The sequence below is a fragment of the Homo sapiens genome, chromosome 17 (genome assembly GCF_000001405.40).
Source record: "Homo sapiens chromosome 17, GRCh38.p14 Primary Assembly".
In the NCBI taxonomy this organism is placed as follows: Eukaryota; Metazoa; Chordata; class Mammalia; order Primates; family Hominidae; genus Homo; species Homo sapiens.
This window is the reverse complement of record NC_000017.11, coordinates 56,500,813-56,517,976: the sequence shown is the minus strand read 5'-3', so window position 1 is coordinate 56,517,976 and position 17,164 is coordinate 56,500,813. Positions and strand designations below refer to the sequence as shown.

At 40.5% G+C, this 17,164-nt stretch overlaps 1 protein-coding gene across 15 annotated transcripts in view; it reads right to left on the bottom strand.

Moving 5' to 3' along the window:
* Window positions 1–960: 960 nt before the first annotated feature.
* The window catches only part of ANKFN1 (ankyrin repeat and fibronectin type III domain containing 1), a 470,940-nt gene continuing 454,736 nt past the window's right edge, over window positions 961–17,164 (bottom strand). For all 15 annotated transcript variants that reach the window (XM_047435502.1, XM_017024263.2, XM_011524430.3 and 12 more), the window contains one exon: window positions 961–7,504. In XM_047435502.1, coding sequence (XP_047291458.1) covers window positions 6,708–7,504 — 797 coding nt within the window. In that variant the 3' untranslated portion in view covers window positions 961–6,707. The remainder of the gene's footprint in view (window positions 7,505–17,164) is intronic.

Sequence of the window (17,164 nt, the reverse complement as noted above, 5' to 3'; positions counted from 1 at the left end):
TGATTTCTTGTTGGCAAACGGAAATACTGCATATTGCTTGGCATAACTTATCGAAAGGGTTAGGCATTCACTGAAGGCATACTTCTTACTTAGCAGGTTACATTTGAAAAGGCTCCTCTTACTCTTTACCTCATTCTGTCCCTACTCCAATACCACCCCAAGAGTGCTCATAGAAGACAGGGGATACTAGAGAAGAATGTCATCTGTTTGGTTTGAAAAAGAAGGTAAACTTTTATTTAGAGAAAGAATTAGGAAAATAAAGTAATGGTTTGCTTAGAAAGATGACAATTTACAGAGGGAAAACAGCATATTTGGCCAGGACAACAAAACAGCCCTCTGAGACTGTCAAGAAAGCCGACCACAAACATGCCAATAAAGAGTTGAATTCGTCTGTGTGTAAAAGAATTCTGTAAAACAGCATAAGACAAATGTGGTCCAAAGCAGCACATTTCCCACCCTTGGGAATTCAGGGGAAACTTTGTACAGGTTCCTAGGGTGGAAGCAATCTCTTTGTAGTGTTCTCAAACACAGAAGAAATCTCAGATCTCAGCCAGCGGGAGTGGGGGTAGAAGGAGCTTCATGGGTGTGGAAACAGAAGGGATGGAGAAATTGAGATGGGATAGCGCATGCAGCAATGCACCAAAGACATTTAAACGTGCATGCAGTGGAGGAAGACGCGAGATTATCATGGCCAAGCTCCTGGGTGCAACTTGGTGAGAGTATTTGCTGTGGCAACCTGCTGCTGTATTTTCAATTCTTGGCAATAACCAATTATGAAAGAGAAATAACTTGAATGGTACAGATTAATCAAGAGCCAGCTGGTCAGACTTTGCTGATAATTGCCAAAGCAATGCCACAAATGATAATTCTTCCAAAGTTTCAGTGAGGAGATTTTAAAAGCTCAGGATGAAAAATTTGTGTCTTTTTCATGACATGAAAAAGCATTAAGTAAGCCAAGTATTAAGAATTCTATTTGTTTATTATTGAATCAACATTTTTCCACACTTAAGACAAATGGGCTTGGAAACTGTCCCTTAAACAGCAAAAAATCTAATGAAGAATAAAAAATATTTTTTGACTTCATGCTTGACTTAGATATCAACAATATTAGGTAAGACATAAAGTATAATTAATGCTTATGAAATAAAGTCATTCCCTCTGATAGCTTAGATTTCTTCTGTCGACAATTTTTCTTGAAAATACACTTAGGCAGGTAAGAAATTACCAAAAATACTTGCCATTAGAAAAATTAACTTAATTCTCATTTATCCCTGACCTCTTATAAATTGGTAGGTTGAAGAGGCATACATTTTACCAGTGCTGTTTTTGATTGAGGGTACTGGACATTTACAGTACACATTTAGATTGTTCAAATAGTTTTCAAATGTACATACAAAAAAATTATTGTTTCAAGAGTGGAAGTCACATTTAACACACCATACATGATTCATCTGCATGTTTACAGAGGTTTAAAGCACACAAAATTGTGCAGATAGCGTACTGAAGTCTAAACTTTAACATACACTCAGTTGCATACATAGCAATAAGACACAATAAATTCTGAACAAGTAACAACCAATAATCAGCCAGATTGCTATGTACACATTAGGAAGGAAGCAATTAAATACTGCCAAATGAGAATGTCACTTAAATTACTTTTTCTATGAAACATCTCTCTGACACCACCACACACGCACACACACACACACACACACACACTTTTTTAAAAATCACAAACATCAAACTGATGCTTGTGGTCACATACATGGATACCCCCAAACATCTGATTTTCACAAGGCAAGAGGCAATACAGCGACTCAGAGTGACTTACTATAATTTGCCACACTTGGCTTTTGAAAATCAGTCACTGGAGGGTGATTACTGTGAAAGTATATTCAGACTTTCATGGCATGGACTGCAGGAAGAGGAGCAAAGAGCCTTAACTAATAGCTTCGTAACCTTTGCCACTAAGTTAAACATTGGCTTTTGCTAAAATAAAAAAAAATCTGTAGGAGAAAGACCCTATGATAATATTTAAAACAACAACAAATCTACTTCCTTTATCACAATAGAATATTTTTCACAGCCCACCTATCCAATTGTTAAACAAAGCCAACCATCCTTTTGAATAACTGTTTTACAAAGTCATTATTAGTGGAAATAGAAGAAATAATTGAAAAAACAAATATAACTACTGTGTGCAGATGCAGTGGAAAAAGCAGAGACCCGAAATATGGCAAAATCAGTGCTTCATAAACAGTCAATGGATTTTTCTAAAAATACTTTTTGCTAATGGCAAAGTTCAACACCTCAGAAAAAGTCTGAATTAAGATCTTAGAATAAGTTTCCAAGTGGTACAACATGGTTTCAAATACACTACCCTTGTTGTTTGTAAGGCCGCATTGAAGTTTAGCTTAACAGTCATAAGCCATGTGTTTGAACATCTTATGAGAGGTGACCAGCAAAGAAAACAGTTTTTTTCCTTGCTCACCCTATTACCTATGAAGAGATACCATTGCTTTCCAAATAGCTATTTTAAAAATTTCCTTGAAGATACGACCTTGAAGAAAAAAGTCCAGGTTTGCTTCATTAAATCATCTGGAAAAATATTTAGACTTTGTAAAGTGACCATGCAACAGTTTAAATTCTCAGAGAGTGTTCCTTTGTTAATCTACAGCTACCTTCTCTAATTGGTATGTGATAGCTTAATAAGCACATATACCAAGAAATACACACTCTTTGCTGTAGCTCTGCTACATACGAAGTTGAGAGAGCTGTAGAAAAATGTCATCACCTTCCTAACATGTGTACATTTTCAGAAGCCAGTGAATTCTGTGTCTTGTTGACATAACTAGGCAACTTAAATGCGTTGCAGACATACCTTCTCTTGGAGAACTCACTTAAGCTGTTAAGTGAGTTCTCCAAGAGAAGGTAAGTACATCTTGGTTGCAGGATGAAGAACCAGAGGAGGCCAAGCAGGTATTTTCTGGGATGCCTCCTCGTCTAACAGAGTTATCTTCAAGGGAAGAGCTCCAAACTCACCAGGGCGCACATTTGTGTGGCAGGATAACAATGAACGAGGGTCCAGTCCTCTTTTCCACTTCTCTGGCATGATCTCCTGGCAAGGACACAGTAGGTGTTTGCCAGGTGGCTCCTGGACAAGGTTTCTTTAGGGGAGTACAACAAGGCTTCAGTCATTGCTTTTCATAAAGTGCTTTGGGATCCTTCAGGAAAGAGGACTGGCGAAATATTATTACTAACTTGCTTCAATTTTCAAACCAAATGAAACAATTTCTCCAGTGTAATTATTGCTTCGAGCATTAGTGAATGTTCTTTAAAGGGAATGGCTCTCATCTTTAAGTACCTACTTCTTAAAATACTCATTCCCTGGAGTGAATGTTTTTAATTACTGTCTCCCAGGCACCCTCGCCAATTAAGAGGATGTTTTAGCTTTGTTAAGTAGTTGCCAAACATATACTTCCATGACTTGCATTTTCCAGGTTGTACTCCCTCAGGAGTCTGTACAGCAAGAAGAAATCAAAGATGTAGCCCAACATGCACTATGTCTGCCTGGCTGAGGAGACAGGCTCCTGCCTCTTCTAAGAGATTGTTGAGAAGATGTATGGTGAATGTATGGCTACATTCTTAGATCAGATTGTGAGCTTCTTGTGGCCTAGGACTATGTTTCACACTTGATTCTTTGGATCTCAATGGGACTTAGAATTGAGATAGACATATGGGAGAACCTCAGTCAAGGATTTTTGAGGATTTTCACAAATGATGAAAGCTGATCAAGCATGTTAGAAAACCCTGGAAAAGAAGACCTGGGACAGTTTCCTTCAGAGGCTCTCATATTGGATTAAAAAAAGAGTGAAAGACAAAAATCCATTGTATCCAAAATTAAACAAAACAAAAACAATAAAATAAAACAAAATATCCTCAGACATTGTAAAGTCTCTGTAAGTAGAAGGTCGGCCAAATGAATAAAGGACTGTGAATTAGAGAACACAGTTGTCTCTCACAAGAATGTATTAATTTAAACTGGGCTCACAAAATATTGCAAAGTGAAGGTATGGGGAAACCTACCTGAATAATAGCTAATTATGGAAGCTACAACATACCCACTTTTATTTAAGAATGTTGCTAAGAAAATGCATTTTCAATTGATTTAACTATGCCCATTAAAATGTAACATGCATTATTCTTTTTGTGGGCATGCCTTCTTTCCTCACAGAAGATGAAAAAGTAACCTTATGTCCCCAATATAAAATAGCAGGTTTAAAATTAATGCAGTTTTGGTCCAGTATGCCAGAACTTACTGACCAAATGAGGGGTCAGAAGGGTGGGTCAGTTTCTGCCTCTCCTGTTTGTTGAATGCCTCCCACCTGATTCAGTCACAAACTTCCTCCTATGCCACCAGAATGATCAGGATCAGGAAATACCTTGGATTCTTAGTTTTTCACAATCCTAGAATCTCATCTCACAAACTCATTGAACAAAGTAATCCATTTTATAATTAGAAATAAGTAGAAACTGAGTGCAAATGACTCTGCCATTCTTGTTATTAACTAAGAGGCATAATTTGAAATGATGTTTTTCCCAAATTTGCTGTTTAATTAAGTTAACTTAGATGTGTATTACATGAAGTCTGTATTCCTTGGCAACAAGCAGCTCTGTAATATTGGAAACTTGTTAGGTAAAGGTTGAATTTGAAATCAGAAGTAGGTAGATGATCTACAAAATAGGAGATTCCCTGTAGATAACAATCAAGAGGTAACTAGGTGTGGACCAATTCCCAATGGGACGGCCTGCTATAAAGGGAATAATTCTAGTTCTGACCCTAACTCTGAGACTAAACCAGCTCCGTGACCTTGAGCATGTTACTTAACCTCTCTGGGTCTTAATTGCCCTACCTGCAAACCCACGGACTTAGATAAATTTTATGGGCCCGTCTAGTTCTAACACTCTCCATGCACATAGAATTCACTTAGACAGAAGAAAATTGCATTTTAAAATCCTCCCAGTCATGAAAAAGGAGCTGTAGTGATTCTGATCAAGATTCTTTGAGGGTTTCATTGAGTATAAAATCTCTTAAAAAAATAAAGTCTGAGCTCTGGGCTTTAGTTTTCTAATGACCATAGGCCATGGGCCAAATCTGTACCTTTGCAGCAGGGTAATTATTTATGTTTAAATCAAATGTTTTTAAAATGGAAGGGATCAGAATAACATTGTGAACAGGGGACTTTGTATGAACTCCCATGAGGAGGAATGGTAGAACTCTGTGGACAAGGATAGGGCCATAAAGAGCAATATTTAACTGAAATGCCTGTGAAGCAGAAAAGGATCATTTAGAATGTCAGTGAAGTGAATGGGTCTTGGCTCCAGGAGATGAGGAAACTTGTGCCTTTTCTGAATATGCAGTGTGATTTGTCTAATTTGGATTCCTGTGAGAAATTCAGATAGGAGGTAATGAGACCAAAGCAAGATTTCCAGATGTTTTTAGCACATCCTTGGAATTAACCACTTGTAAAGGCTTCTGAGCATATTTTCCCTGATGCCAATTGGGCCAGATGATTTTGAGGCAAATTTGACCTAAGGAGAGGTAGGTTGAAAGGGAAAGGCAGCCACCCTAGCCCTGGACAATCTGCCCCTTGATCTATGATGTAGGGTGAGTGGATAAGCCTGTGGGGTTGTGAGGAGCCCATTGCTGACTGACCGTATCTGCAGGGCACTTTCTGGTTCAATGACAATTTCATCACCAAAGAATCTGGAGCTGATCCACTATGATTTTCAGAGACACAGCCCCCATGGACTTACTTTGCTTAACTTAGAATTGTAAAGGAAATATATTTCTGCCCATGTCTCTCTCCCTCCCCTGTCTTATCTGTAATTCAGGCTTTCACTTTGCTTAGCCATCTCCTTGACCCCTGTAAAAATCTATGGATCATTTTCATGCTTGGATGGGAGCTGAGTATACAGGAAGGGCTACTTTCTGTCCTATTCTATCTTTGCAAGGTAGAGCTGAAAGAGAATTCTCCACTTTTGTTTCTGGTGGTCTCCACACAGCACTATACGAAGAAAAAAAGGCCTGTCAAGGCCTATTTAATCAGATAAGTACTGATGGATAAATTGGATAAGGTGAGCCCTGAGAATTCTGCACTTTGGAATGACCTAGTTTAGCTGACAGGGAACCAAGGTCAAGCCCACCTGACCCCGTGCCCTAGAGACACAACCTGGTGTCTTTCCCTCAAACTCTTCTTAAGGTTTGGAATGGAGGGAGAAATGATGCTAATCTTATTTTCATTTATAGAACTTCTCTTCATCAATCACAAATTCATGAAAGAGCCCTAAACTAGGGGTCAGATTACAGAACCAGCTGCAGAACAGAGGGTCTCTCTTTGGGATGGCCAGCTTCAGTCATAGGTGCCACCAACAGGGTGGCATGTTTGAGTCACTGTATGTCGTATTCCATGTTGACACAACTCCCCCATGCCCTTTCTAGGCTGAAGTGGGAATGGCACTGGCAACTCTGGCCTCCACCCACCACTCTGTTCCAAAAAAAGAGGACCTTGAACTTGTAACCTTTGTATTTATAACATTCAAAACGCTTGAAAATGAGTGGGTACACAGTGGGGCAGGATGGGGGTAAGGGTGATGTAAAACGCAGGTAGCAGCCATGGAGGGGTGGACAGCCGGGATGGGCCTCCCTAAAGCATGCTGCTGAGTATTTCTGACATGGGAGAGGCGGTGGGGCCCTCCTGACTCACATCGGGGCCAGTGGGGCTGGGCAGGGTGATGCGGCCTCCAGAGGGCGGGCTCAAGCTTGCCCATGGTTTTTCGTCCTGGGCCACCACGGCCGCTGCGTAGGGCTCCACGTAGAGGCGGCGGACGGAAGGCCTCGCGTCCTGGAGACTGCTGTTCCGCTCCTCAGGAAGGCTGGCAGCGTGGGCCAGAGTTAGGCCCCTGGGATCATCAAGGGCAGGGCCGGCCCGCTTGGCCTCCTTGGGCTCCTGGGCCAGACCACAGGCCTGGGACAGGTGCTGTGTATAAATGCCCTCAGAGAGCGATAGCGACTGGGTCTCGCTGTGGATGCGCAACCAGCGATGATGGCGGCTGAAGCCGCCATAGTGGGGGTGCTTGCCTGGCTTCCGCTTTCCCAGGAAGCCTAGCGGGGGCCGCCCACCGGACACAGTCTTGGCGTGGTTCTTGGGTGTGAACCCCGTGAGGGTCAGGCTATGGAGAAACTCGGCACATGAGTGATCGGGATTTGGGCCCTCGCCCTGGGGATCCTGGCCCGGCCCCAGAGGGGTTTTCACGTCGTGCACTTGCAGGACGTCGGGGGCGCTGCCGCTTAGGCCGCTAAGGGTCTGCTGCGCAATGTCGTGAGATGATAGGTAGACCAGGTCCAGGTCTCTGGGGCTCAGGGCATCGCTGGAGTCGTAGTCACTGTTGGTGGGGAGGAAGACTTCTGAGCAGGCTTCTTCATCAGAGCAGGGCTGTGAATCTGCGAAGCCAGAAACTGAGGTTAGGAAAAATATAGTCTTAGCTAGAGCCTGCTTCACAGGCATAGGAACAGTGCATTTGACCCCGCACTTAGAAGGGGCCTGTGCTTCGTTTAATGCCCTGCTGTCACCTCCTGAAATGCTGACACATTTTGAACTAGGGGCCCCACATTTTCATTTTGCACAGGACCCCACAAATTATGTAGTGGGCTCTGGTCTTAGCGTAAGGGAAAGGAAAGAGAGGAACTCTGACAGGTTCAGCCCAGATAGAAGTAGAGGAACCTTCCCTCATTTCCCACACACGCTTTTATTATTAGCTGGGCAGCTGTGGAGAGGATGAAACAGGCTAGAAAGCTAAATGTTATTCATTTCTTCATTCCCTATTATTTCAGAGATGATTTTTGCATTTGACAAAGTAGCAGGAATTTAAAAGGGTGAACGAAGAAGAGGAGACTCCAGTGGTGGAAGTTGGTAAACCTGGTTTCAAATCCTAGCTGCCGTCCACCTCCATATTCTGAAGGACTACCTTGCTCATTAAAAAATACAACAGTTAATCGAAGAAAAAGCCCACATTCTAACCAGGTTACAGTTAGTCTGTTGATGGTGGAAAATCAGACGTGATTATCATCGGAATATTGCAAAATTCATGGATAAAGTCTGATTTGTTAGGGAGTCAGTATCAAGGTTTCTTCTATTTTAGGGACTAGAACTAGAAGGAATGCTTTTCTTCCTTACTGTAGGAGATGATGTGCGTACTTGCTCTTAATTGGCAGGGCAAGATGTCAGTTTTGCCTTTTCACTCCTTGTTGTTACCCAGTATCCATTATCCAGTATCCATTATTGTTTGTTTAGTTACAAAATCTTAATTTTAATTGGGACACCAACGCACTTATGTAAAAGACCGCCTTTTTTCAGCTTCCCCTGCAGCTAAGCATGGCGATATAATTAAGTTCTGGCCACTGAAATGGAAATGGAAGTATGGTATGAAACTTCTGGAAAGCTACATAAAGGGACCTGGCTTAGCTGGGTCATTACATTCTTTCTCTTTCCTTCCAGTTTGCCTGTAACTAGATGTGTTGGATGAGGTCATGGAGCAACCTTGGAGATAGAAGCCACATGCTAGGATGGTGGGGCTGAAAAATAGAGCTTGTTGCCTGAAGACCATTACGTCTGCATATCAACCTTGAATTGTCTCCTTTTGAGCTTCTTTCACACAAGAGAGAAAGTATCTTGTGTTTATGACATTCTTATTTGGGTCTTTGGTAACACGAACCCAAAATTTATCCTAACCAATAGGAGTACGGTTAAATAAATTGTGGCGCATCTGTATATGGAATATTATCCAGCAGCTACAAAGGATGAGATAAATTTATATGTTCTTTAAATAATGGCTACCAATAAAAGGATTCCCTCTTCTGCCTTTTTGAGCTCCACTGATCTGTTCAAGGTTTTCCTCAAACATAACCTCCATTAGGAAGGAGCTGCCCCAGCTGTTGGGGCAGAGATATTTAATTACTCTTGGGGCAGAGATATTTAATTCATCCATTCATTCACAATGAAGATTCTATATTACTTGAGATCCTGCTCTAATAGAAGCACTGTACTTGGTGCTTGAGTGGATATAAAATTAATAAGAAATTATATCTGTCTCTAGGGAGTTTACTGTTTTAATGGATGTATAAAGAAAGTATGCATCTGTGAGACTGTGGCAGAACATAGGTTTTATAAGAGAAGTTCAGCAAATAAGTGTAGGTATATAGGAAAGAGGGATTATATTTTATCGGGACAGGATTGATGAAATACTCTATCATCATTTCATTTATTTTTCTCCCTCCATTCATTCATCTCTATGTCTGTATTAATTTATGTCTTCATCCACTTTTAAAAATGACTGGAGGTAGCTTTTAATAGTAAATATACAAACGATAAGAGGATTAGAAACAAAGAGGATAAAGAAAGAGCACAAGTAGTCCCGTTTTGATATTATATGAGTTGTATAAAATGTTAAAATTGTGGGGGGCTGGAGGAAGGGTGCATGGGATTTCCTGTACATTTCTTTGTAATCTTCAGGGTCTATAATTATTTCAAAAAACATATTTTTAAAAACAGCATTTAATTTTTAAAAAGGTAGGGTGGAACCAGAGGAGGGTACTGAATGCTTAGATAAGGAGTTTGTACCTTATTTTGTAGCCAGTGGGTAGTCATCAAAGAATTTTGAAGAATTGACAAGATGAGAGCTATGATTTAGGATAGCAACTAGGATGTAAGATGAACATGCTGAGGAAGAGATAGCAGGGAGGCCAGCTGGGAAGCTGTGGTCCAAGCTACATTTTCCCTCCAAATATTTACCTTGTTCAGGCTGTGGGGCTAAGCAAGAGCTGTGGTTGTGTGGAAGAAAATAGAAGTCCAGGAAAGTCATTCATTGAAAGATGTTTATGGAACAGTTATTTTGTGCTAGACAGACATGGTCTCTGCTTTCAAATAGCTCAAAGAGAGTGGGTTAGACAATAAGTCAGAAAACACATAAGATTAATTTTGGGTAGTATGAAGTTCTGTGAAGACAATGAAAGTGGATTTTAATGAAAGAGTGACTTAGGAGGAAGATGCTTTCGATAAGGTGGCCAGGGGAGGAAGCATCACTGTACAAAGGGGAGTCTGGGTAAGAACCCAATGATCAGAAGGAACCAGCTATGTGATAGTTTTAGGGACAAGTGTTCCAGATAACTGGGAGAAGCGAGTGTATAGGCCTCAAAGTTATTAGTAGATATCAAACTGTGATTCCTGGGAAGATAGGAAATTAAACTAAAGGAGTTAAATTTCAGTCCTGATTTGGGTTGGGTGGTAGAATCGATGGTTTAATTTGGGACAGGTTGAGCTGAGGGGAAGCCAAAACATCAAGGAGGGGATGAACTGAGAGCATGTGGGTAGCAAAGCTGAAGGAAGGTATTTGTGAGTGTGGAGAAGAAGAAACTATTGGAGAGAGAATGGTTGAATATATGAGTGGTGAGGTTGATAATATAATAAGGAGGGGTGATCAATTGTGAGCACCAGTGCTGGCATTGGTGCTTAGTGAGAAAGATGGAAGGACACATTGTCCTCAGAGGTAAGGGGTTAGGAAAGAAGAAACATATATTTCCAGGTTAAAAGGAGAGAAATGTATAAAGACCTGGGCTAAATAACTTTGATATTCTTTAAAAAAGCCTTAGTACTTTTTCCAATCTTTAGTGGGAAAATTAGGACACTGCAAGTAATAGGATTTCAAAATTGTTGATTGTTTTTGATGATAGCAGGGGCAGGTGCCTTAAGAGTGAGGAAGAAGAGAACATAACTGAGGATTTGAAATTGCTCTTGAAATAGGACCCATGCAAAGAATTCATAATTGACTGTAGTTGAACTCCCTTCTTCATTTATCTGATCAGTGTGTTCAGCTGTGTGCATGTATCCACAATGGTAATAACAATATCTGATATTTACCTAGTGCTTACTGTGAGCCAGCCATGATGCTAAGAACTCTGAATGCTTTATTTTGTTTAACACTTACAGCAATTCTCATTTTGCAGATCAGAATACTGAAGCTTAGGCTTATCAAATTTTCCAATTTGTATTCTTGATAAGTGGTAGCATAGGCAGCCAAATGTAAATCTGTCTCACTACAAAGACTTGCTATGCTGCCATCCACCTTAGCATTTCCATGACTCTCTGTGGAAACTTCCTGAGGAGTGGCACTTAGTTCATCTAATTCACTTTTTGTGGTACACAGAGTTAAATTACTTAAACTCTTAGGGCTTCTTGACATTGCTGCTACTAGAGAAACATACTAGATCTTGTATTAGTTTCCTGTGGCTGCTGGAACAAATTACCACATACTGGGTGGCTTAAAACAACAGAAATTTATTCTTTTACAGCTCTGGAAGCCAAGAGTTTGAAATCAAGGTGTCAGCAAGGCCACACTCCCTCTGGAGGTTCTAGGGGGAGAATACTTTCTCTTGCCTCTTCTAGCTTCTGGTGGCTGTCAGCATTTCTTGTGAGCATGCCACTGCTATCTCTGCTTCTGACTTCTCATGGCCTCTCTTCTGTGTCTGTGCCTTCTTTTCTGTCTCTTATAAGGGAACTTTTCATTGGGTGTAGGATCCACCCATATAATCCAGGATGATCTCATCACAAGATCTTTAATTTCATCTGCAATGACCCTTTTTTCAAATAATGTCACATTCACAGGAAGGGGAACATCACACACTGGGGCCTGTCATGGGGTGGTGGGAGGGGGGAGGGATAGCATCAGGAGATATAACTAATATAAATGACGAGTTAATGGGTGCAGCACACCAACATGGCGCATGTATACATATGTAACAAACTTGCACGTCGTGCACATGTACCCTAGAACTTAAAGTATAATAAAAAACAAATAAACAAACAAACAAAAAAAACAAATAATGTCACTTTCATAGGTTATGAGGGTTCAGACATGGACATAGTTTTTGGGGGCCAGTAGAAGACTGATAGTAAAAATTACTAGAACTGGAAGCAACCACTGAAGTTTGCAACACTTTCAGTCCATAGTCAAGCACTTTGCAAAATCTGTCTGTATTTTGATCTCCCAACATACGAATAGTGAGAACATACTGTTTGGAGGGGACTAAGGAGTATACGAAATGTGCCTTAAATGAGCTGACAGTGTAATATTTTAATGGAGTATCATATTTTAAGACCCAGTCTCTCAAGGAAAGCCTGTATTGTTTTCCCCAGGTGGAGTTAGTTGCTCAGTTCTTTTGCCTCTTAGAGCATTGTATTTATATCTCTGTAACTGCATTTACCAAGTTTTATTATAAATTATCCATTTTCCTATTTGTCTTCCTCATTGGACCATGAACTCTAGAGAGCATGCAGTATGTATGTCTTACTCATCTCTGCTTAGTAAATATTGAATAAGTCAGTCAACAAAGGAATGGACTAAGGAACAAATTAAGCAAAGGGATGTGTAGAATCTTTTGTATTTCCCAGATCATATAGTCTGAACATGGACATATGAGTGGACTATGAAGACCTCCCAACTACACTGTGTCTTAATCATCATTGTATTAGTAACCTCTTGTGCTATAAATGGTACATAGAAGGCTCTCAGTAAAGCATGTTGAGTGGAATTGAAACTGAAACAAATATTGAAATCTGGGAGCATAACGAATAGTGATATTTGACTGTCTCTTAGAAATAATACTAAAAGCAACGCATCCTGAAAGGATCTAATTTACTTAATCTACCATTGATTCCTGAAACAATCACCCAGATAATTTTGCTTTATCTTTGCTGATATTTGACTGAAGAGCCAGCCCAAATATAGCAGAAAGAACAATTGTCTTAAAATTAGAGAAACCTGGACTGAAGTCCTGTCTTGCTAACTACTGCATATATGATCTTGAGCAAATCATTTAGCTTCTGTGAACTGGTACTATGAATAAGTACTATGAGGAGTAATTTAGTTTGTCAAAGATACTTTAAGTGGGCTGGGTGCGGTGGCTCACACCTGTAATCCCAGCACTTTGGGAGGCCGAGGCGGGTGGATCACTTGAGGTCAGGAGTTCGAGACCAGCCTGGCCAACCTGATGCAACCCTGTGTTTACTAAAAAAAAAAAAAAAAAAAAAAATCCAAAAATTAGCCAGGTGTGGTGGTGGGCACCTGTAATCCCAGCTACTCGGGAGGCTGAGCACGAGAATCACTTGAACCTGGGAGTCAGAGGTTGCAGTGAGCCAAATTTGTGCCACTGCACTCCAGCCTGGGCAACAGAGTAAATCTCTGCCTCATAAAAAAGAAAAAAAAGATGCTTTAAGTGCCTTAAAAACAGAAGATATTAATATTGAAATTCTCTTCACCCTAAATAGAGAATAACATATTAAGATCATTAAAATATAAACCAGTAATCAGATATACTTCAAGGTGAGAATGCTGTTGATAATAAAGGTGAATAATAATTTCTTGTATGGTATCTTCTGCTGGTGATGATCTAGTCCAGTAGATTTCCTAAACTACATTTTAGAGTGAATTAGTGAGTGATATAACTGATTTCCTGTAGCTCCCAGAACATGAGAGATAGGAGATTTCATTTCAGGAAAGATGGGGAGATGACATTTCAGGAAAGACTATTGACTTAAAGCTTCTCTTGATTTCAAGAGAAGACCTAGTTATAATCATGGTAACCTAGGAAGGAGATACAAAAGAGCTTGAATATTAAGGGGTAAATATTATCTCCTTGGTTCATGGACCCACACTTGGGAAACACTGCTGTAGTGGGAATCTAAATATTTGACTTGCATGGTGATTGTATTATTTATTAGAAGACTTAGTGGAACCTATTGCTTAGAGTGGGATACCCCTCCCAGAACAGTCTGGGAAAATCTCCAGGATGCCAGCCAGGGCACTGAGGAGAGTTTCCAAGGACTTAGGCCACTGCTGCTCCCTCCCTTCCTGGAAAAGAATGCAAAGTGCAGCTTCCATCCCCAGATTCAGGCCATATGCTCCATTAACCACTGTAGGCACCTTGCCCAGTTGTTATTTTAATAAACTTGCTTATGCTCCTCAATTTCCCTGAGAGGGCCCACTGGGCAGGCCAGGACTGGTAAAACCTTGAATTTCCCCTCTGGTTGACCCAGGAGCTGTTTGATGAAAGTTCTGCTCATAGTATTAGTGCTGGCTTAGGAAGCTTGGCTTTCTTGCCATTGTAATGAGTGTTGTAACTCCTGGTCTCTGTGGGTCAGGCCAACAACAGCAGAGTAGAGTTGATGTGGATTTTGAGGGCGTTATGGGGAGATGACATTTCAGGAAAGAATAATTGACTTAAAGCTATTGCTTTTTTCTTAAAGGCAGGGGGCATGGCAGAACAGAAAGAAAAGAATAATAATCCATATTTGCCCAAAAATCTATCTTCACAGTTTTAATGTACCACTGTCTATATATATATATATATATATATATATATATATATATATATATGAAATTTGTGCTTCAGTGAATTTATTTCCACTGTGTTTGAGTAGACTTTAAATAATTTATAAATGAAGACTTTTATTGAATCTTTCATCAGGCCTTCAGTAGAACCTCCGGGGTTTGTTCACCTTCTGATATCCCAAGAGAAATAATATCTCCAGATTCTTGTTGATTTTTTTGAGCTGTGTATTTTATGCCATAGTACTCTTAACATCATCTGGAAAAAGGTTACCAAGATTTACATTTGGAAGATCAGGATAACCTTCAAATGCATCTGAAGGAAACAACACCCCCCTCCCCTCTATTGCCTCACCCATGTGTCACTAGGAGAAACAGCAGTATTGGAAAAAAAAAAAATTGCTGCTGCCTGTGACCACTATATCCACAGAAAAGGAGCGGGAGAGAAAACACCAAAATACCCATGTGATGGACCAAATCATTCCACTCCCTGCCTTGAGCTGCATTTTCTAGAAGCCAACTTTCCCCCTTGGGTCCTTGAGAGATGCTTAATTTTAATTGACGCACAGGAGTTCTACTTTGTGTTTTGAAAACCACACAGAAATGGGAAGTAAGCGAAAGAGTTCCATTCTCCATCCACCTACTCCCAAAAGATATACACAAACCAATTCAAGATACTCAACAGCCTTAAAACAGAATCTTGGGCTGGCATCAGAGGCTAGGTTTGTGATAGGCTCTATATTTCTAGCAGGCTCCTTTGAAGTTAGTGAATCCTATACACACAGAATGGAATTATGCTGCAAACTTTGCCCTCTGGGTAACCCAGCAGGTATGTTCTTCTAAATTGCATTTCCCCCTTTTCATAAATGGCTTTTGAACAATTCAAAGTGGTCACACTTGTGGGAAGGACAGAGAATGCAGTGACAGATTTCATTGCTCTGAAATGCTTCTGCTTTTGTGAGGGGTAGGACACTAAATGTTTCTCCCCAGTTTTCAACAGCACTTCCCCATCATTAGGTTCCATTTGTCATTTGCTGCTTTCCACATCTTTGTGTTTCATAGCTCATGGAATCTTGGCTTCCAAGAAGTAAATGGACCCAAGAGAGCGTTATATTTTAAGAAACAGAATGATGATCGCTCACATTTTAAGTTAATAATAAAATCTGAATGTAATTGGCCAGATCCTCTTAGCAGGGAGTGGTGCAACCCGTCTTCAGGCCAACGTGAGAGTTTGGCACTTCTGTGGCATAGAGAAGGCCACCCTCATACAGCCAGGGAGGAATCCACTAAGAACCCTGTGGCCAAGAGAAGATTAAACACTGGGAAGGTTCTGTGAGCTGAGAGGGCAGACAGGGGCTGCGAAGGTGGAAATAGAAATGAAGAGTTGTTTGTAGAGTTAAACAAATTGTGGGACATCGTAGCATACATAGCTTTCCTGCCTTAAAAAATGCCCTTTCAACCCTACACTTCTCTAGCTACTACCTTCCCTCCTTCTTCCCTTTTGCAGCCAAGATTTTAAAAGAGTGAAAATTCCTGTCCTACTTCTTTACCTCTCATTTAATCCCTGATTAGCTTCTGTTCAGTTTCTATTTCTTTCTTTTCAAAAACTGCTCTCATCTAGATCACTGATGACTTCCTTGTTGAGAAAAGCAAAACAACTGAAGCTTTTCAGGTTTTGAATTTAACCTTTCTCTACACATTTTGATTCTGTGCCACTACTCTCTTGTTTTTTTAATCTTCTTTCTCTGGTTGTTCCTTCTTAGTCTAATAGGTCTTGATGCTCCATTCCACAGGGATCCTTCCACAGTCTCCTCTTCTTATTCTACCTCCTCTTTCCAGGGAATCCCAAGCATTTTCCTAGCTTCAAACATCATTCACATGTAAACAAATTCTTAAATCTATAATATTAGCTCAGTTTTCTTTCCTGAGTTCTAGACTCCATGCAGCTTGTTTTCTCCTGAATGTTTCTTTTTTACGGAATGTTCCAAAGCCAACGCAAATTCAACATGCCCAACCACCCAAGCTTGTTTTTCCTTCTCTCTTACCTTTTTTTTTGGCAAGTGCCATCATGATACCATGAGGCACCCAAGCCAGAAAACTTGGTGTCTCCTTTGTTAATAACTTTCTAAGTTGCCTCCCTGCTTCAATAATTTTCCCTTATGGTCTCTTCATACAGCAACCAGATTTGATTTTACAGATCAGATTATATCAATCCTTGCTTAAAAGTTTCCAATGGCTTTCCATCACAAGCGGGATAAAATCCAGACTTTTTACTATGACCAGCAGAACCCTGCCTACTCTGGCTTCTGGCTTCTGTCTTGCTCTCTACCCTGTCTCTCACGATCCGCCCTTTTGTTCACTGTGTGTCAAAGATCTTGGCCTTCTTTCTGTCCCTCACCTACCTCAGGGCCTTTTGCTGTTTTATTGTCTGGAATATTCCAACTCCAGAACTCTGCATTACTAGCTTCTTCTTCTGGGGTTGGTTCAAATGTCATCTTTCCAGATAGGTCTCTGCTGATCATCATCCTAGTGAATTCAACACACTTCCTGCCTACTCCCACCCCTACTGCTGTTTTGTATTATACACTGGAATTTTCACGATCTGAAATTATCTTGTTTGTTTATGTTTTCACTCTTTGTCCCTGTTTCTAGAATGTAAGTATGCTCTATGGGAGCAGATATTTTGCTTTATGTATCACTGTATCCCTGTTACTTCGAAGAG